This window comes from Homo sapiens, chromosome 12 (genome assembly GCF_000001405.40).
Source record: "Homo sapiens chromosome 12, GRCh38.p14 Primary Assembly".
NCBI classification, from domain to species: domain Eukaryota; kingdom Metazoa; phylum Chordata; class Mammalia; order Primates; family Hominidae; genus Homo; species Homo sapiens.
The window spans coordinates 52,513,383-52,534,655 of record NC_000012.12 but is presented as its reverse complement, the minus strand read 5'-3'; the positions used below and the strand labels follow the sequence as shown (position 1 = coordinate 52,534,655).

At 51.8% G+C, this 21,273-nt stretch overlaps 1 protein-coding gene across 1 annotated transcript, besides 3 other annotated features; it reads left to right on the top strand.

Annotated features, from left to right (window-relative positions):
* Window positions 11,390-12,355: an enhancer, noted in NCBI's record as "H3K4me1 hESC enhancer chr12:52916085-52917050 (GRCh37/hg19 assembly coordinates)". NCBI's record gives its function as "activates a minimal SCP1, AML or CMV promoter by ChIP-STARR-seq in naive H9 embryonic stem cells {active_cell/tissue: H9 hESC(naive)}" and the evidence as "EXISTENCE:reporter gene assay evidence [ECO:0000049][PMID:30033119]".
* On the top strand, window positions 14,262-20,081 carry KRT5 (keratin 5). The gene is made up of 9 exons (NM_000424.4): window positions 14,262-14,914; window positions 15,496-15,710; window positions 16,493-16,553; window positions 16,664-16,759; window positions 16,902-17,066; window positions 17,424-17,549; window positions 17,799-18,019; window positions 18,824-18,858; window positions 19,416-20,081. The coding sequence occupies exons 1-9, from the start codon at window positions 14,360-14,362 to the stop codon at window positions 19,712-19,714; spliced, it is 1,773 nt and encodes a 590-aa protein (NP_000415.2). The 5' UTR covers window positions 14,262-14,359; the 3' UTR covers window positions 19,715-20,081.
* Window positions 15,175-16,374: an enhancer, noted in NCBI's record as "BRD4-independent group 4 enhancer chr12:52912066-52913265 (GRCh37/hg19 assembly coordinates)". NCBI's record gives its function as "activates an origin of replication core promoter dependent on BRD2, P300/CBP, MED14 and CDK7 cofactors, and independent of BRD4, by STARR-seq in HCT116 cells {active_cell/tissue: HCT116}" and the evidence as "EXISTENCE:reporter gene assay evidence [ECO:0000049][PMID:35650434]".
* Window positions 17,384-18,583: an enhancer, noted in NCBI's record as "BRD4-independent group 4 enhancer chr12:52909857-52911056 (GRCh37/hg19 assembly coordinates)". NCBI's record gives its function as "activates an origin of replication core promoter dependent on BRD2, P300/CBP, MED14 and CDK7 cofactors, and independent of BRD4, by STARR-seq in HCT116 cells {active_cell/tissue: HCT116}" and the evidence as "EXISTENCE:reporter gene assay evidence [ECO:0000049][PMID:35650434]".

Below are 21,273 nucleotides of genomic sequence, written 5' to 3'. Positions count from 1 at the left end.
ACGTGACTCTATACAGATAAGGATATATGCAATGTGTGCTTTTTATGCCCAAACTCACACCTTCGGGTGGCTATTCCATATAACAACTTATTTCTAAATGTTTGGGTCTAGGATAATCATGGATGAAACCAAAACTAAAATTTTTCTTCTTATATGAAGACGGTTGGGTCCAGGATGCTCAAAAGGATGTCCTGAGAAAATGGCATGGAATATGGGGCAAATTCTATGAAAATGCGTAAGGAAAATGTAAAAACTGATAAAGCTGATAAAGCAATTTGCTTACATGAGCCCCTGAGAAAGGTCGAGGTGTTTGGGTACCTCAGCTTTGCATCTGCTGTCAGGAGGCCCCAGCAGCTTCCTCTTTACATCTGAACGCTTAGCCCAGCTGGCCTGGTGTCAAGCAGAACACAGTCAGCAGGCCGGGAGCCCAGGCAGGCCTATCCCCTCCATGCTCCGAGACAAAGCCTCCACTTCTAAAATGTCTCCAGGCCAGTGGACCAAGAGGTTTGAGTCTCCCACAGACGGACCCAGTAGGCCAGGCTCAGTTGGAGATTTTAATTTTGGACTCGTCAGAGTTCCAGAACTCTGGAATGTGGCAGCATGGAGAGAATTCCCAGCTCCTGGCCTGCAGCCTGCCCCTTTCTCTTCCTACCCCTGGCTTTGCTCCCTTGCCTACACAACCACAATCTGCAGACAGCCTAGAGGTGTGCCCAGCACCCGGCAGTCTGCTCTCCAGAGGACAGGCCTGAGCGTGGGCTGGGAGTCACTGGGGAGGGAATGCTGGGGTTTTAGGTAGCTGAGCGGGTCTAGAAGGGGAGTGTGGACCCCATGAGCATGGCCCTTGGCCCTGCAGACTCCTCACTCTGTGGAACAAGGGCAACTAGAAGGCCCAAGGCAGGGGCCCCTCTTGACCAAGTCTAAGGGGACTTTGGAGACAGCACCCACACTTGGGACACCAACTGGGGGAGAACCAGGTACCCAGGCCAAGCTTCCGGTGTCAAAAGACAGGAGGACGGGATAGGAAAGGAGAGGTGCAGAGCCCGTCAAGGAAATGGGAATGGGAAATAAACACAGAGATAAACCTTGAAGGTGGGAATAGTGATCATCGCTATAGTTAATTGAGGGTTTCCTGTGTGTCAGGCCATGAGCTACGTTCTTTAAGGATATTTCTTATTAAATCCTCAACAATCCTATTAGCAACCCCCCCCCAACCAATTTATATTAATAAGGAAATTTAGGGCCAGAGGGACTATGAAACATGCTTAGGGCCACCAGGGTGAAGTGGCCGGCCATATTCTCTCCTACCTAGGGAGAGAGAAATTTTACTGTCTCCCTCTTTTGTCCCAGATCCAGCACCTGAAGACACAGGTCCAAGTCCTGGAGTAGCAAGGGTCCTTAGGGCTTCCAGAGAGGAGGGGTACTCTGTGTGGGGCCAACAGTAAGGGTCTGGGAGGGAAAAGGATGAAGCTGGAGTCAGCCTTTGGGACTGGGCAGGAACTGCAGAGACGGTCAAAACCAAGCAAGGGGCCCAGTGACCCAGTGACCCAGGGAGAAGCCAAGTGCGTTAGGGTGAGAAGCTTTTCAGGTATTTGTCCCAGGTCTTGCCAGAGGGCGGCAGGAGTGGTTCCCAGCATCTCTCTGTAGGCAGCACCTATCACAGGTGGGGTGGGGTAGGGTGGGGCACCACAGCCTTCTCCCCCTTCCCCAACACACCCAGGCTGAACCTCCCACAGCCCCTGTTGTTTTGACGGCCTGGTCAGAAGCTGCAGTTTGCCACACTCACCCTCTCACCCTCTAAGGACTGCAGTACAACTTTCCAAGTGCTCATTTGTGGTTTCCAGCCCCTCGATGGTGTCATTACAGAGATTCCCCCACGCCACCCTGACTCTGCATCAGGGGTGTGTGTTCATCCAGGCACACAGCTGGACACTCAGAGGTTTAAGGCGGCCCAGGCATGAACCCTGGCCCCACAACCCAGCCCTCTCCTAAGTGTTGCAGGAGAGGTTCCTTGTGTGGTGGGAGAAGAGGCCTGAGATCAGAGAGCAAGGGAAAGGCTTGGCCTTCCAGGCTGGAGAATGAACAGGGACCCAGGAAACAAGAAAGGTCTATCTCTAAAACTACTTACTCAAAGGAGGAGCCCAGAGCTATGTTAGAAGTCGTCTGGGGCCAAGGCTTGAGGAGGGGCAGAGGGGAGGGCAGATGTGGTAAAGCCGAGCTCCCTGGGAAGAAAGGGTATGCTGCTGCAGGCACACAAAATCACTTCAGGTTGCATGGCACAGCCTGTGTTATGGTCATGGCATGATTTTGGTGTAATTAGAAAATATGTAAGTCAGTAGTTAACAGAGTTTCCTTATCAAACAAATATACTAGGTCAATATGTAAGCCAATTAAACAAGACACGTATTAAAGAAAATAACAGGACAAGTGGTTTGTGGATACAGGCAAACTTCTGTTGGTGGTCCCTGAATGACCGTAGCTTGGGAAATATTTGACTCATATAAATGTGAAAGAGGGCTGAAGGGGCACCGCTGGAGAGGCCAGCAATGCCATACTGGGCTTGCGTTAGTGGCAAGGGCTGCAGACACTCCTGAGGGCTGTGAGGAGCTGGGTCAGGAAGCTGCCGGTGTAAGCAGCCTAGGATTTAACCATGTCTTCTCCCTAGGAGTCAGCATCCTTGGAGTTGGAGAAGGGAGACCAAGAAATGTCCACAAACATAGAAATACTTGTCAAAGAGGAAGAGGGTCTGATCCTCTTCTGTGAAACTCCACAGAGCGGAACAACGATGGGGAAGTGGATGTTAGAGGGAGGCAGATTTCAACTCACAATGACGAAGAACACGCTGGCCGTGAGAACCGCCAGCAGCTGTACGGTGGGTCTGGTGCGTATGTGGTGAGCTCCATTTCTCTGGTGCCTCCCGGCAAGCACAGTGCAACTGTGGTGCTCCAGGAAGGGGAGGTGGAAGGGAGACACAGCCACTCTGCTTTCAGAGGCAGGTGGAGGAGCATGTCTGCGACCAGGCGGCCGGTGTCACTTAGGGCCCAGCCACGTGCTGAAGAGAGATGCTTCCCAGGCTGGTTAAAGGCCAATTCTGCTTCAGAGCAAGATGAATAGGAACAGGGAGTATAGACTCTGAAGCCTGATTGACAAGCTCCTGCCCTCAGCCCTCAGGAGGGTTTTGGAAACGGCCCGCCTCAGCCATCTTAGGATTCTTGTCCATGGAAAACAACTGCAGGCTGGACCTGAGCAGATAGGAAGGAAGCCTGGAGCCAACTTGCTGCCCAGCCCAAGGCCAAGCTGGGCTCTAGAACCTGACCGAGGCAGGTAATCCATGGCGCTGGAGGCCTTGGGAGGCACCTGCCCCACTGACTCACAAGGTGGGGCTCAATTTGGTAATGTGAACCCCAGGATTGGGGGTTAGAACTCCCATGTTGGATTGGCTTCCTCAGGGAGGAAACTCAAGGTCTTGTCTACTCTTTCCCTTCCACTTTCATCTAGAGCTGTCCCCCAGCATTAGGACCCGCCATGCTCATTTCTTGGAGGGGAGTGGAGAGGGTGCAGGCTGTGGGAGCCCTCACGAGGGTGTAGGGTGAAGTGCAGGACAGAGTTGCTGAGCAGCCCAAAGCTATTTTCAGATCAAATACTTTGTCTTTAGATTGTGCTCCCTGCTGAGGTCATGATGAGATAAACCTATGTGGCATGCCCCTCTTCTCCTCAATCAGTAGACTCTGTCAAGATTCTACACAAAGGGTGCCACAGTTCTCTGCCAACTAAGAAGGCTATGGGGCCTTGGGAAGATGGACAGGGTCCATTTCTTTCAGGCTGAGTCCTCTGGGACTATCTGGGGGGAAGGTGTGCATCAGGCTGGTTTTCACTGCCTCCCCACAGGAGCTGGGCCTCTCAGGAAATGTCTACATTTGTCTGCCAGGGCAACGACCTCAGAGAAATCCCAGTTATGGTGTCATATTCTAGGACAGACATATGCCTCACCAACCAGACTATTCCCTGCAAGCTGCCATCTTGCCTTCCTTGGTCTTTCCAGAGTGAGAACCTGTACCTAGCAGCCAGCAATGGGGGAAGAACCAAAAGTGGACAAAAGCAGCAATGGGCGGAGCCAGTTGCCTGGGAAATGAGGCCACTGAGGTGCTGGGAGACCAATCCCCTCCACAAACCAGGAGAAGGCTGGGAAGGTGGGATGTGCTTCATCAGACCTCTGGGTGCAGCAGGCATGGATTTGAGGGCTCACTGCTATCAAAGAGTAGCCAAAGGGTGGGTCTAATTCCAGCACCAGTTCTTCCTCCCCTCAGCCAGAGAGTGAGCACCTAAGCCTGGCAGTCAGCACAGGGCACAGCTCCTGCTAAGCCTTGGGGCAAAGCAATGTGGAGGGATGGGGAGAGGAAGTCGGTACTGAGGAAGGTAGACTCAGGGACCAAATCCACAGTGAGCTTTCTATCTGAGACCGGTGGACAAAACCCTCAAACACATAGAGACGCTGGGTCAGTAAAGCACACGTCCCGCAGAGGGTCCTGGCAGATTCTCCAGCGGATGGTGAAGGCTGCCTGCTCACTTATTCCATAGACCTAGTCCAATGCCTGCGGCTACACAGTGGTGCTCAGCGAGGTCTGTGGGGTGGGCAAGTAAGTGTGGTGAAAAGCGGTCCTCAGGAGGAGGCCACCTTTTGGAGGGAGCTTCCAGGAGCAGAATTCACGATGAAGGAAGGGCAGGCAGGGCTGGGAGGCAGGGCCAGGGGAGGAGACCATGAAGGTGGAAGAGGGTCTCCAGAGTGTGGCAGAGAAAAAGAAGACTCTCTTGGCTGCAGCCGAATCTAGATAGAGATGGTGTGTCTAGACATTGTTTCTTGTTCTTGCTGTAGTAAAGTTACCCTAAACTCTGGTAAGACGGCACAGATTTGAGATGTGATGGATCTAGAGGTCACAGTCTCTCTGGGCAAAAATCAAGATGCTGGCAGTGCTGACTTCTCCTGGAGACTCTGGGGTAGAGTCTGCTTCCCTGCATGTCCAGCTTCTAGAAGTTGCCCACATTCCCTGGCTCATGGCCCTCCTCCCTTCATCAAAGCCAGCAACAGGGGATCAAGTTCACCCCAGACGGTGTCACTCCAATCTCCTGCTTCCCTCTTCCACATTTAAGGACATTTGGGATTATATTAGGCCCACCCAGATGATCCAGAATAATCTCCCTATTTTAAGGTCAGGTGGTTAGCAACCTTCATGCTATCTTCAGCCTTAATGTCTCTTTGCCATGTAACATAACAGATGTACAGTTTCTGGGGATTAAGATGGGGTCTTCTTTGGGGATCATTATTCCACCTATCATAGATGGTAGGAGGGATGATGAGGAAGGGGGACCCAGAAGAACGAATTGTTGAGCATAAGGCCAATAAGAAGCTACTGTGCATTCCTGGGCAAAGGAAGGCCCTGCTTCACCGAAGGACTGGGGCTAACCTTGGTTCTCAGGGTGAGAGTGAGATCATTTTCCAGACTCAGAACAATGGAGCCATGTTGTACCTGAGGACTTGCAGACCATAACGTGTTATTGTTCTTTGCTGAGGGTGGCGTGCCAACCTGCAGGAGGCCATGACTGACGCCAGAGTGAGGGGGCCCAGCCCTCAGGGATGCCCAGGTCAGCTGCCCGAGAGGCCTAGACAGGTCATGGCATCTGCTGCGTGGCGTCAGTGGCTGCTGAGTGTCTCCCTAGCCCTGGACACTGAGGCCCTCCCTTCCAGGATGGCCTGGGGATGAGGAGGCTGATGGCTGGGTCAAGGCCTCAGAGCAGATTGAGAAACTGGCTGGGACTCCTGGGGCAGGTGGCTGAGGAGAGAAGCAGGGAGAGGAGGGAAGCAGGGCATGGTGGGGGCGGGGAGAGGGTCATGGTGAATGGAGCTTTTGTTCACTCCTTGGCACAGCCCTGCCTGGGAAGGCTGATGGGTAGAGATGGAGAGCATTTGGGCCTCACAGACCCAGAGAGCTCGCAGCTACATCTTGCAGGGGGCATTGTGGCATTGATGACCCTAGTGGTACCCCCAGAATTTCTTCCTGGGTAGGGCTTGGGGCTTAGAGGTGGCGATCTGGTTAGGAGGGGCGGTGGCATGGCAGGTCTGTGTCAAAGCTGGTTTGCAGAGGAGCATACCATTTTGTTTAAGTGGCATGTCTATTTGCGTGACTTCAGTATATGGGCTGCTGATGTTGCTGACGGGGATACTGGCTCTTCAGGGTCCCCTCAGCAATTCCCCTTATGTGCTGATTGAGAGCATAAGCTCTAGGAGCAGCCAGACCTGGGGTCAAATTCCAGTTTTGACAAATATTATCCATATGAGCTTAGGTAAGACATGTTCCTTTCTGAGGCTCAGAAAACGGGACAAATAGTAGTGCTGATCACCTGTGGATGAATATGGATGAATAGTAAGTAAGATAACGCATGCTACATTTTGGCACAATGTCAGGCACACAGTAAGCACTCAGTATCCATTCACTTCAAAGAAGGGCTGGAGGAAATCAGGTCCAGTATCACCAAAAGCAACGAGGCTACATATCTCAGTGAATGGTGCTAATTTCTTTTCTAAGTGGGGCAGCCTCATGCAAGGAGCTGGTCAGTCTCTAAGAGGCCACAGGGTGGTTTGGCCCATCCCAAAGGATCCAAAATGCCAAATAATGCTCAGGCTGGGTTATTCCATTTCATACTCTCCTGATCATGGCCTCTGCTCATCCTGAACAAAGTGTTGCAGGGCCCTGTTTGAGTGTCTTGGCCATAAGCGGTTGTGGGGTTTGGAGAGGGGAGGAATAGAGCGAATCGCTGAAGCTTGGGCCAAGACACTGGGCTACTCCCAAGGTATTAGGAAGTATCAGCAGTTGTTAGCCACGTCTCATGCATCTGGAAGGACTGCCCCAGGAAGCATCTGGGCTTTGCCCTGGGCCTAGTGCCAGGGTAGGAGGGAGATGGGTGTCAGGCGATCCCCAGGCTTCCCCCTTGAGGACATTGTATAGGATTTTATAGGGAACCCCAATCCCCTGAGTCTTGCCCCAGAGTCTTAGTGGTCCTGCCCTGGGTTCTGGCAGTTCAGAGAAGGGAGGGGGTCTCCAAGGGCACCTCCCCTGTCTATACTCCAGGGCAGGGGTCCCTCTCTCTTGGGGCTGCTGGAAGATGTTATGGTATACTGACTGCTGAGTGGTATCTGGGGCCCTCTCTGTTTGCTGCCTTCACAGACTATCCGGAGGTTGAGGCCTCTGCTGAAGTCATCCTCTTCAGAGTCAAATCACAAGTCCTGCACTGAAAATCCAAGTGCCCACAATGGTGATGACAAGGGCTTTTGGAGACACCCTTGCCTGGGCTCTTACCTAGGCTCTGTCACTTGCCAGTTGCTTACCCTCTCAGGGCATCAGTTTCCTCATCTGCAAAACAGGGATCATATTAGGCCCACCCCACGAGGCTGTGAGGAGTAAATGAGTTGATACATCCAGAACCATGCCTGGCTCACAGTCAGTGCCACTCAAGTGTGGTGATTGCTGTCATCTTTCACCAAGCCACAGAGCACATCGAGGGCTCAGGCTCATCCCATGCTGTGAGCTTTTTGGGGATCATGAAAGTCCAGAACTTCAGAGAGACAAGCTGCCTAGAAATCGTCAGATACATCTCCACATCTCCCCCATTTGCAAGAGACTGCCAGAGAAGGCATCTGGGTCCTTGTTTCACGTTTTGTGCCAGAGAAGATGGGAGTGGGGAGGCACAGTGTAGGGAGGGAGGGAGCAGGCAGAACCAGCACTGAGCACTGACCCTCTAACATTAAATCGGGAACCGGCCGACATGGGGTTGAGGCTGTGAAGGGATCCACCTGGCTGGAGAGTGGAGGTGAGGCCGAAAGGCCCTGGGGACCAGGGACTTGTGAATGAGCAAGAAATAGTGGGAGTCCTTGACAACTGTTACAGAGGATGTGGGTTTGACTGGAGGCCCAGCTAAGTACTGTGAGGCTCTGGGCACGGGCAGAGGGAGTCATGTGTGAATTCTAACTCCTTATTATCAGCCACTGGAGTAGAGGCGATCAGCGTCTGCAGACTGGTGGGACCTCATGGCCTAGAGCAGACAAATGCCTTGGAGGAACAGGCTTCGGTGCTAACTTAGGCTTGAAGGCCAGTCTGCTCCCTGGAAAGACCCAGACCAGCACCTGGACATGAGGGCTCTGGACAGGGGAGGGGTGGGGAGCAGTAAAAACACCCTCACCCATCACAGTCACCTGTCAGCCCTGTCATGCACACAGCCCTCGGGAAATGGCTCTCTGAAGAGGACTGAGACGTGCAGCCTTGGACTGGGAGACAAGTAGGCTCTTGCTGAGGCCCAGATGGGCAGTGCAGGGCAACAACAGCGTGTGGGACAGGACCAGGACCCAGGCTTGGCTCTCACCTCACCTTGCCAAGGGCTTGGCGTTAGGCTCCACCTCCCTGAACTCAGCCTGTTCCTCTATGGATGGATCACTGGGCTGGTTTTTTTCTCTGAAACCAAGTCAGGCCAGCTTCCCTAACCCGGCCCTTGCACAGTGACCCGTCACTGTCAAGTGGTGTGGGCCACCATCCTGGGTCTGGTAAGGAGATCCTAGAGGAGACCCAGCCCTGTTCGCAGTCCTGGAGTCTGAGGGAGGAAATGGGGAAGGGTACAGGGTCACACAACCAGAGTCCAGAAGTCCAGTGCATGGCATCTGCCTTGGCCAAGTCACACATGTGGAACAGGACCTGATTCAATGACTGGCATGAATTGAAACACTCCTGCACGCTCTCTTGTCTCAGTTGCTTTTTGCACTGCGTCTCCCTTGGAAGAAGCCTTAACCTGTTTTCACAAACCCTCAACAGTGATCGTTGGTCCAAGTGGACAGTGAGCAGGTCAGTGTTCACATGTGCTCACGGAACATGAAGATGGGAGCTGCGAGTGTGTCCTGGAGTCTGAGGGAGGAAATGGGGAAGGACACAGGGTCACAGTCTCACATAGACGGTGGGACTGGGGCCAGCAAGGTGTCCCATGGCCTTGAGGACTGTGCAGATGCCGAGTGCATTTCCTGAGGGTGGCCCTGGGAGAGGCAACAGCTCCAGCCTCAATGCTGTCATTTACTTTCTTTTCTCCCTCACCATATTACCACCTTCTGTACTGATTCACCCCACCTGCCCTCCACCCATGATCAGAGCTCACCTGACTCACCCCACCTTCCCCCCACCCATGATCAGTGCTCACCCAAAGCAGGAAAGCCAGATGGAATAAGGCTCTGTCTCCGGCACTTGCCCTCCCTCCCAGGACCAGGAAGCCCTGAGCCAAACACAAACTTGGGGAGGGGGGCAGCTGTAGCGTCTCCTCTGCCTCCCCGTTCCCAGTTGTGGCTACTGGTGAGAGAACAGAAAGTAGCAGGGAGAAATGGAACAGTGGGTGAGTTGGGGATGTCAGCAAGCTTCCTTCTGCACCTCTGATGCTGCAGGGATACAACCTGGTGTAAATGAGTCATGTCTCTGCCTCTCCACTGAAGAGGGAGGCTGCAAATCCCCAGAGTATGGGACACACTGACACCTACATTGGACAGCCAAGCTGAGGAAGTGCTAAGAGCCCTTCTTTGCATGCTCTAGTTTCATATTCATATATGTAAAGTGTGCAGGGCAGTGCCTGGCACATGGTCACTCCTACGTAAGTGTTTATTTAAAAAATAAAACCACCCTCTATGAGAAAGCAAAGCGCAGAGGATTTTGCTGTATATCCTTTTTTAGTCCCTCTGACTAATTAAAGTATTTGTTGATTTCCAGCCCATAGTTTCAATCAACCAAGGGGGATTTTCAAAGAGTTTGGTGTGCCATGAGCAAAACACCTTTCATACGAGGGAAGAACATTCCTCAGACTTGCAGGGGCCTGCTGGAGGGAAGCGGAGGGCTCTGCTCTGCACCCTCTCCTGCCAGGGCCAATCGGCTGCTGAATCTAAGGGATGGGGGCCAAGGCTGCTCCCCACAGCCCCCTGCAGGCCTGCCCCTCCCTTCCTGCTCAGCCCCAGCCAGCTCAAAATTAAAATTCCAGCTTGCATGGCCCCTCCAATGAGCCCAGGCCCCTCCCTTCTCTCCCAGCTGCACTGGACAAAACTATGCAGTGAGAGGTTAGGCAACTTGCTCAGGGTCCCAGACCCATCCAAGGACTGGGTCAGGACCAACACATGGTCTGGAGTGGTGCCACATGCTTTTGCACCTATGCTGTGACCCACAATGTGTGCGAAGCCCGTGCACAAGAAAAACTCAACTCCAGGGGGTAACTTGTCACTATGACCTCAATAATGGCAGCAGGGACTCACCTCCAAAGGCCCTCTGAGCCAAGGCTGAGCAGTTGCTTTATGTCTGGACATTTGCCTTTCTACCTAGTCCGGTTTTCAGACTGGGGTCTGAAAGCCCTAGAGACATTGGGCTGTAGGAGGGAGGGGGTGGTGTGTCCAGCTCTGCAGATCCAGAGTGGCCACTCCCCTCAGGGCCCTGTGATTCTGAGAATCTAGCTAGGACCAGAGCTGGGACCCAGGTTGGGATGGGGGCAAGATTCCGCTGGCTTTGGGTGGAGGCAGGAAAATTCTTCCCTCAATTCCCCCTGAGGCTAGGGCTTTGTGAAGAGCTATCTTGGGCTGGCCCGCTGTTCCATCTGCCCTTCCCCATCCTGCGAATCTGGCTGCAGGCTCCCTGATGGGGCTGCCAACCATAGCCCAATGAATAGGGTGACTCACACCTCAACTATTGCTCCCCACTTTTTGTGCTGAACAAGCGTGAGGTGGAAGGGCTGCAAAGTTGAGGCCACTAAAGCTTTCTTTCTCTCCTGGAGGGGCCTGGGGGCTGGGGTGGCACGTGCAGGCTACTTGTTAGTGGGCTCAGATGCAGAACACCCTCAGAATAAGGGTGAGGGAAGAAGAAGGATGGAGGGAAGCCTAAGGAATAAAGAATCCTAAATGCTAGATTAAATCCTAAATCCTAAACACAGAGCATACCCAGTGTGAAGGGGACAACAGACTCATCCTGTAGACACGGACTGAGAGACAAAATCAGATGGACAAGACTCTGAGACTCAGCATAGGGCTGGAGGATTCACAGAAATATATGTGAATATATATAATGTATATACATTCTGTTATACATAGGTTGGTGTAGATATAGGTTGGTGCAAAAGCAATTGAGGTTCTTGCCATTGTGGGCTTCACATAACAATCTGGGGAAGGAGCGGAGGAAGAGGATTTTCTGTCTGTCAATTCACTCCAAAAAATATCTGCAGAACACTTCCAGTGCCCAAGGCTGGGCTGAGGGTGTGGGCCATGCAGAGATGTTCCCTAACCTTGGAGACTGCCCTGCTGGGGGGGACTTAGAGGATATGTACAAATGCTGTTTTATGGAACATGTTCTATTTATCATGCTCTATTAAATGTATCTTCTACTAAAGCCCTACAGATTGGAGTGGAGGCTCTGAGGAGAAGGAATCCTGGGCTGGGATGGCAGGATTTGCCTAACCCTTGTTCCACGAATGGATACCACCCTCTCCCTGGTGTCTGTGAAGGGCTTCTCCATGTATGAAATGCTGACCAGGTCCTACATTCCCTGCACAGCTCTGCGAGAGAGGTCAGGGCAGCCAGCTTACTGTCCTTTCTCTGATGGGGAGAGCAGCAGGGCGGGCCCTGCACTGTCTTCTGCTGACAAGGAAAGCAGCACCCAGAGGAGAAGCTGAGCAACATGTCCCACCAAGCCTGGGAACTGCCTCTGTGGGGTGCCCAGCAGGAAAGCTCCCTGGTGAGCCTAACACAATCCCTCCCTTCCTGCCACAGTGAAATTCCAGGCTGGGGTGGGACTCTCCCGAGCTGCAGTGGTGCTGGTGCCTGGCTCCCCACCAGGAGCGGCTCCATTATTTATACCTGTCCAGGTCTGGCATTGAGGGAGGGGCTGCCCTGCCTGCTCATGGGAGGATTCCCACGAAGCTCGGATAGAAGAGTGCTGCTGCTTCTCCCATGGAGCACCCACATGCTCCCTGCTCCCATGGAGCACCACACACTCACCGTTGGTCCCTGGCACATGGATCTGAGCTTGGCACACTCTAGCAATCCTCAGACTAGCCAGAACGCATTCCTGCTCTGCCAAGTCCTCTTTCTTCACAACACAGCTGGGAGGAGAATGAATGGGGAGAAGAGAATGTCCCAGTGTCTCAGGAGGGGTGGGGCTTCCCTGAGGGCAGTGAGGTCTGTACCCGGGACCTGTGAGTGTATGTGGTGGTGGGGATATACCCCGATATCGATCTTTGAGTGGAGCAGGAGCATCCCACTACGAGTCCTCAGACACTTGCTTCAGGCTTGGATCTGTTCTGTTCTATCAGGAGCCGAGGGTCCCCTGGTATGTCTCAGGCCTCCAGGACACTCACATCTGTTCTCCAGAAAGCAACCAAATGTGAAAATGGTGAGCTCAGCACAATTCATCTCTGAGGGTCTCAGAAATGCTCCAGCCAGGGAGGCCACCCAAACCATTTTGCTCAAGACCTGTAAGACCGGCTCCGGCCATTGGTCTGTCTGCCGAGATTGACCTGTCAGCTGCTTGCTCATCGCAGCCCTCTGGTGAGAAGTCACTGTTTCAGCTGATCCTCAGCACCAGGGAGTCATTTTCCCACTGCCTTGGCTTCCTTGTGGCCAACCGCAGGCCCTGGTGAGAGATTCCTGAGCCTGGGTCTGGTCCTGTTCTTCTACTCTTGAGAATATAGCCCCTCCTCCCTGAGGCTTTGAAGCCATCCCCATTGCATTCCTACCTCCAGCCTCGGGCCACAGGGCGCCCCCGAAACTCTGAACAGCCCAAGCACTGTCCTGCCTGAGAGCCCTGCTTCTATTTGGGGGACGGCAGAGAGGTGGCCCCACTCAGATCTGCTGCCAAAAAGAGTGGGTGTGGTTTAGAACAGACGTGTGTTAAAACCTCATCAGAAACCCCCTTTCCTCCACCTGGTGCCACAACCCCCCAGACAAGTTTTGCAGAGGGGATCTCAAAGGGCCCTCCCTAAAGCAGCTGGCAGATTGTCATGCCAGCTGCCTGGGCCCACAGGCCTGCTCTGGCTAGCCTTTCTGGCAGGACAATCCATAGACTTAGAATCCCGTTTTCCATTGCCTTGGCCCTGAAGGAGGCTGTGGGCTACAGCATAGAGAAAGCAGAGCAAGTCCCGCTGCTTGGAACAGGGTGGTTCGCCGTTATAACAGGCCGTCAGACTCTCAACATGTTCCTGATGAGATTAGAAGCTCCTGCAGGTATGTGTTTGTGGCGGCCTTCAGCCTGTATCAACACATACGATGACTCATTTCTTCCCTAGTGGAATAGAGCTTGCTGGAACACACCTGGGGGGCTGGGGAACCGGCAGAGTAGCTACCCCCAAAGAGAGACGCTATAGCCCATGAGTCTCAGGGTTTTTTTTTAAGGGATTGCATGGGATCCCCGGGTTTCCTAAACCCCCCACAGAGTCCTGCCCAGGCCAAAGAGCAAGGAAAAGGTCAAAGGGCAGAAAAAATGCTGAGTTAGGAGGAGCTATGGAAGGATAAACCTGGCCTTAAAGAGGTCAAAGTGGTTTATAGGGGGCGCTGAGGGCTTCCCACATTCTCTGGCCTAAACCTTGCAGGCAGATCTGCCCAGTGGGCTCTGGGATAGCTGTGCCTTCCCTAAGAAAAAAATTGTGCAGAAAAGGATGAAACTCTATTTTCCCTCTAGCACATAACCAAGAATATAAGGCTACAGATTGCCTTTCCCAGAGGGGAAAACCCTGCAGCAACCTGCTGCCTGGAAAAGTGTAAGAGCAGATCACTGGGGAATCGTTTGCCCCCCGCTGATGGACAGCTTCCCCAAGCTGGAAGGGCAGGTGCTCAGCATGTACCGTACTGGGATGGTTGTCAATACTCCTGGTCCTGTAAGAGTCCCCAGGACACTGGCCATGCCAATGCCCCCTCAGTTCCTGGCATCCTTTTTGGGCTGCTCACAGCCCCCAGCCTCTATGGTGAAGACATACTTGCTAGCAGCGTCACCAACTTGCTGCCAAGAGATCAGTGCTGCAAGGCAAGGTTATTTCTAACTGAGCAGAGCCTGCCAGGAAGAAAGCGTTTGCACCCCACACCACTGTGCAGGTGTGACCGGTGAGCTCACAGCTGCCCCCCAGGCATGCCCAGCCCACTTAATCATTCACAGCTCGACAGCTCTCTCGCCCAGCCCAGTTCTGGAAGGGATAAAAAGGGGGCATCACCGTTCCTGGGTAACAGAGCCACCTTCTGCGTCCTGCTGAGCTCTGTTCTCTCCAGCACCTCCCAACCCACTAGTGCCTGGTTCTCTTGCTCCACCAGGAACAAGCCACCATGTCTCGCCAGTCAAGTGTGTCCTTCCGGAGCGGGGGCAGTCGTAGCTTCAGCACCGCCTCTGCCATCACCCCGTCTGTCTCCCGCACCAGCTTCACCTCCGTGTCCCGGTCCGGGGGTGGCGGTGGTGGTGGCTTCGGCAGGGTCAGCCTTGCGGGTGCTTGTGGAGTGGGTGGCTATGGCAGCCGGAGCCTCTACAACCTGGGGGGCTCCAAGAGGATATCCATCAGCACTAGTGGTGGCAGCTTCAGGAACCGGTTTGGTGCTGGTGCTGGAGGCGGCTATGGCTTTGGAGGTGGTGCCGGTAGTGGATTTGGTTTCGGCGGTGGAGCTGGTGGTGGCTTTGGGCTCGGTGGCGGAGCTGGCTTTGGAGGTGGCTTCGGTGGCCCTGGCTTTCCTGTCTGCCCTCCTGGAGGTATCCAAGAGGTCACTGTCAACCAGAGTCTCCTGACTCCCCTCAACCTGCAAATCGACCCCAGCATCCAGAGGGTGAGGACCGAGGAGCGCGAGCAGATCAAGACCCTCAACAATAAGTTTGCCTCCTTCATCGACAAGGTGAGCTACGATCTTTTGTAAAAAATCACTGTGGGTCTGAAATAAATGCCAAAGAGAGAGAAAGAAGGAAGATGTTTTGGCTTTGTGCAAATACTTTTATAGTTGTACAGTTCTGTGTTTCCGTTTGTTTCTGTGCCCTGGATTTGTGGACACGTTCTGAATTAGACTGGCAGCTGGGAAGGGAGAATTATTTCTTCCCATTCAGAGGTTAGCTCACAAGGGCCTCTTAACAACTGTTGGACAGAGAGATGAATTTCATGCCATATATAAAGGGGCTGACTGTACAGGAAGGTAGACAAGTGCATGGGCAGCAGCCTGAGTGCCTTTGCAGCCACCCCTGAGCCGGGACACACTCCAAGCAGCACTCCTAGTGCTTTCTGTGCCCTGGATAGGTGTCCTATCTCCCCCTGGAAAAGTGAGTTTGGGTGCCTCAGTCTGCACCTCCCCTCCTGGGGCCCAGGGCCAGGCACAGTGCACAGAAAAGCTTTAGAGGGACGGAAAGAGGTGGGAGGCACCTTAGTGAGTTGATCATAGAACATGAAATCCAAGTTTCTCTATCTTCAAACCCTGCTCCCCTCCAGGTGCGGTTCCTGGAGCAGCAGAACAAGGTTCTGGACACCAAGTGGACCCTGCTGCAGGAGCAGGGCACCAAGACTGTGAGGCAGAACCTGGAGCCGTTGTTCGAGCAGTACATCAACAACCTCAGGAGGCAGCTGGACAGCATCGTGGGGGAACGGGGCCGCCTGGACTCAGAGCTGAGAAACATGCAGGACCTGGTGGAAGACTTCAAGAACAAGTGAGTTGGGGTGGAGGGTGGACACAGGGGAGGGTGGTGTCTTCTTGGTACCAGATGGGCTTTGTTACTAGTCTACTACCATGCCTTCCTTTGGGGCTGGGAGGATATACCTTCCATGGACACCTCCAGTACTAAAACAAACAAACAAATACACAAGCCAGGCTCATGTTTAGAAAGTTCCAGCCCCAGGCTCAGGCCCTCTGCAAGGAACTTAGTCAACAGCCAGAGCAACATGCTCTGTGCCCTTGGCACTACCTGGTGAAATCTGCCCTGATGTAAGGCTTGCTCTCTGGGACTTTCCTCCCCGGTACATGGGCCTTTGGATAGATTTGTCTCAAAGCAGGAGCTGGTGACATAACCCAGCTTGGTGGCTCAAGTAATTTCTTTAGTCTTATGAACCAGCAACTAGGATGCTAGATTTAATTTTGTTTCTTTTCTTTTTTTTTTTAAAGCCTCTGAAAGCTCAAAAAAGAACACTAGAGAAATTGACTAGGTAATGCAGTTGGGGAGAAACAGCACAGCTTTTCTGCAGGAATCTGCTTGAAACAACTGAATTAGAGCAATAATAGAATTATTATATGGTAGGCAGTTACAGAGAAAGCAGTATTTAAATGGGGAGGGACCTTGGCCAGAGGTTCATGCTACCAGTGTCCCCTCCCTCTCTGCCTATGAGGAGAAGCCCCTTCCCACTGCAAAAGTAGGCTTACAGTTGACTGCATAATAAAGACCCCTTACCTGTTGCTCATCCTCTGACAAACACTTCCCATCCCTTTCACCACCAGGTATGAGGATGAAATCAACAAGCGTACCACTGCTGAGAATGAGTTTGTGATGCTGAAGAAGGTGCGTGTGGGTGGGAGAGAACCAGCAGCCTGCAGCTATGCTCTCTAAGCGTGGAGCTCACTTGAGTAGGGTGACGGTGTGTGCAGTGCCAATCATCCCTGTTTCCCCAGGATGTAGATGCTGCCTACATGAACAAGGTGGAGCTGGAGGCCAAGGTTGATGCACTGATGGATGAGATTAACTTCATGAAGATGTTCTTTGATGCGGTAAGAAACTTATCTAAATTTTTCACATGGGTGGGTTTTTTTTCCTCAAGTTGTCATATCACAATGAGTGAAAGATTTGAATGGAACTGACATTAAATAACACAACACAGAACCAGATGACCGACTCCAAATCTCCCTGCAGGAGCTGTCCCAGATGCAGACGCATGTCTCTGACACCTCAGTGGTCCTCTCCATGGACAACAACCGCAACCTGGACCTGGATAGCATCATCGCTGAGGTCAAGGCCCAGTATGAGGAGATTGCCAACCGCAGCCGGACAGAAGCCGAGTCCTGGTATCAGACCAAGGTGGGTGCTCTGATGACTGTCTCCTGAGTGAGGGGACACACCCATGTCTAGGATTCTAGGCCATGACGACACTAAGAATGGGGCTCCTGGAACCTGCTGAAGCCCATTGGGATGCTTTATAGGAATGGCTGTGTAGACAATTTCCATCTAAACCCAAGGACCTGAGAAATAATCTCACTCTGAATCTCACACCAGTGTCTCCAGGAGAGCAAAGGCACTAGACTAGCTCAGCCTTGGAAAAGCCTGAACCAGCCCCACACTATTTGCCACCACTTAGTACTCACTGCCTGTGAACTTTGGGAAAGTTCTTCCCATTCTCATATAAACAGAATCTTTCCTCTTTCCTGGCTGCATCAGTATGAGGAGCTGCAGCAGACAGCTGGCCGGCATGGCGATGACCTCCGCAACACCAAGCATGAGATCTCTGAGATGAACCGGATGATCCAGAGGCTGAGAGCCGAGATTGACAATGTCAAGAAACAGGTAGGGTGAGATTGAAAGAGGGCAAGGAAGGGGCCTGAGTTCTAAAAGAAACACCTACTTTGTTTTATTTTGTTTTACTTTTGCTAAACACACGCAGCTAGATCCAGTACCAGTGTTTCAGTGTCCTGCCACCCACGATGTACTGGTTTCTCTCTGGGATTCATGATAGTTTGGTTTGTCTGACCCAGAAACTCAGAAGGAGACACCTCAGGTCCCAAGCAACCCCACTCTCCTCCTTTCTATCTGTAGTGCGCCAATCTGCAGAACGCCATTGCGGATGCCGAGCAGCGTGGGGAGCTGGCCCTCAAGGATGCCAGGAACAAGCTGGCCGAGCTGGAGGAGGCCCTGCAGAAGGCCAAGCAGGACATGGCCCGGCTGCTGCGTGAGTACCAGGAGCTCATGAACACCAAGCTGGCCCTGGACGTGGAGATCGCCACTTACCGCAAGCTGCTGGAGGGCGAGGAATGCAGGTGAGTAGACAGCATGAACTCAAGATGGCCTTCAGCTGATAAAGCGAAGCTGCTCTACTGTGGGGTGTACAACACACATACATGAGATCAGTGACTTGTGCGTGATAATGACACATCATCAACACTATTTCAGTCTGACTCATGGCCATATAGCTGACCTCAACTCACTTTTCTGGTCTCTTTTCCCCCACCGGTGTTCCTGGGCACTGGCTGTCCTCCAAGCACCTGAGCAACTCAGCAATCTTCTTGACACTTGTGCCTTTTCTGCTTTTGCTCACGTCCTTTGCTCAACCTCAATATCCATGTCATGCCCACCTCCATCCACCCTTGTCCTCCAGTACCCCTTCCTTCAGGAAGGCTTTCATGTTTACTCCAGCTGAGTTAAACTCAGCTACCTTTGGATTGTCAAACTACTGTTTGCTTCAACCTCTGACATTGCCCATTGCCTACTTTCTGTTGGAGGAATTTCTGTCCGTGCCAAGTTCTCTCACAGAATGTAACTCCTACAAGGCAAAAACTGCTTTCGACATAATCACATTTTCCAAATCTCTTATACTTTCCCCATAGTGGGTGGAGAAGAATGTGAATTATAATTCTTTCCTAACAACTTGTTTCTAGGTCAATCCCTCTTCATTGGAAAATCCCTCTGGAGAGTTCTCCCTTCCTTTAACTTAAGCAGCTTTTGGGTGTACAGACTCCTGGCTTATGGAATGAACTCGAATCATGAGGATGGGAGTTAGCCACATAGACTAATGCTGTCTTTTTGGGAGCTGTTAACCCTTAATTCAATTTTTCCCCTTTCAGACTCAGTGGAGAAGGAGTTGGACCAGTCAACATCTGTAAGTAGCTTTGAACAGACATTAACAACGACAATAATATGGGATATATTTAGTGCCAACTCAGAATTCTGCTGTTTCTAGATCCAAACTTTTCCCATCCCAGCATATGGTTATTTATAATAATACACTTAGTAAGTTGTGGGTGGTGGAGGGGAAGGACAGATTGGGACAGGAAGCAATGTGGCTTATGTCTCATCTCTTAAAGGGTAAGCCATGCATCCTATGCTTCTTGGACCCTGTCCCCTGCCTTGTCCCTAGTACCTAGCTCCCCCCAGTACCTAGCTCCTCCCCTCAGTACCTAGCTCCCCTCAGTACCTAGCTCCCTGTAGTACCTAGCTCCCCTCAGTACCTAGCTCCTCTCAGTACCTAGCACCTTGCCTCTTACACTCACCCACTTTTTTAGGGACCTTAATTAAATGACAGTTCTTCCGGGCCTTGTTTGCTACTCTGTAAAGGGGGTCCAGTAGAGTGCTCCAACACCAGCAGATCAAATAAATGGGCCATGCAGGATCAGCCTGGCAGATGGTCTCACTGAGTCCTCCCTCCTTTCCCTGCAGCTGTTGTCACAAGCAGTGTTTCCTCTGGATATGGCAGTGGCAGTGGCTATGGCGGTGGCCTCGGTGGAGGTCTTGGCGGCGGCCTCGGTGGAGGTCTTGCCGGAGGTAGCAGTGGAAGCTACTACTCCAGCAGCAGTGGGGGTGTCGGCCTAGGTGGTGGGCTCAGTGTGGGGGGCTCTGGCTTCAGTGCAAGCAGTGGCCGAGGGCTGGGGGTGGGCTTTGGCAGTGGCGGGGGTAGCAGCTCCAGCGTCAAATTTGTCTCCACCACCTCCTCCTCCCGGAAGAGCTTCAAGAGCTAAGAACCTGCTGCAAGTCACTGCCTTCCAAGTGCAGCAACCCAGCCCATGGAGATTGCCTCTTCTAGGCAGTTGCTCAAGCCATGTTTTATCCTTTTCTGGAGAGTAGTCTAGACCAAGCCAATTGCAGAACCACATTCTTTGGTTCCCAGGAGAGCCCCATTCCCAGCCCCTGGTCTCCCGTGCCGCAGTTCTATATTCTGCTTCAAATCAGCCTTCAGGTTTCCCACAGCATGGCCCCTGCTGACACGAGAACCCAAAGTTTTCCCAAATCTAAATCATCAAAACAGAATCCCCACCCCAATCCCAAATTTTGTTTTGGTTCTAACTACCTCCAGAATGTGTTCAATAAAATGCTTTTATAATATAAGCTGGTGTGCAGAATTGTTTTTTTTTTCTAGGTTTACAATCAGCCTAGAGATACCATGAGGGTCAGTCTACCCAGATGTGATTGGTTCTTTTGATGATTCACAGGGAGAATGGGATAACATTTAAGGGAAAGTGGCTATTGGGGGTGGCCCAGAGACTCCAAGAAGCACAGAGATTATAAAGTCTCTGCAATGAAGGAGTCTCTGGAGGGCATTAACGGGCATGTGCATTGTACTACAATTTAGACAGATTTTAGAGCCTTTTGTTAAAGAGGGCCCTATGCAAGGTGAGATGATTTGCAAGTAGCAGCATATTTGGGCTTAAGTAAAGTTTGTAAATGAAGAATATGTTGCCTTCAGGACCTCAAAAGACCTAAAAGATGTTGGTCCTATTGTAATATTGTGGGCGCTAAGATGCTCAATAGCTATTTTTTGACAGTGTCAGGGATGGAGTAGCTCTTGGTTTACCAAATAATTTCTGAAATTTAATGTGGCAGGACTTTGCATGACCTGTGGGACAACGGCAAACCCTTTTTTTCTGAGCTCCTTGGTATCTATATGTCCTGAACGCGTGTATCAAATGCATCTCTTTGGAGGAGGATTCAGCAATGTAAATCATATCTGTACTCCTGGAGAAAGTCAGATGCATTTAAGAGCTTGACTGCAAAAATTGCATGTCATGGCAGGGCTGCTGAGGCAATCCCTGAGTATCTGGGAAAGCTGTGTCATGCCGCCTTGGTGGTGAAGCGAGTTGTGACTGAGAAGCTGTTGCAACGGGCATTCAACAGAATATTTGACAGCCAAATCCATAAGAAGGAAATATCTACCAGCTGCCAATTGGATAAGTCAATAATTTCAGTAATATTGGGTATGGAGCCTTAGTAGGCATGACCATGACATTATGGTTGTGGTAATCCACTGTGAGGCACCATTCATTTTTCCCAAGTTTAAAAATAGGCCAAATTAGGTTGTTGATGGAAAAATAATGGATATAAACAACCCTTCTCTAAATAGATCCTGTTTAATGGGCTTCACTCCTTAAAGGTCCTGTTTTAATTTACACTGGGGCATATTAACTATTTTAACTAGGGCTTGGGGAGGCCCATGGTGTCCCATTTTGCCAAACCAATTTATAAATGCCAAGGACTTGATTTAATTTTAATTTATGACTTATTGGGTTAGACTGTCCATGCC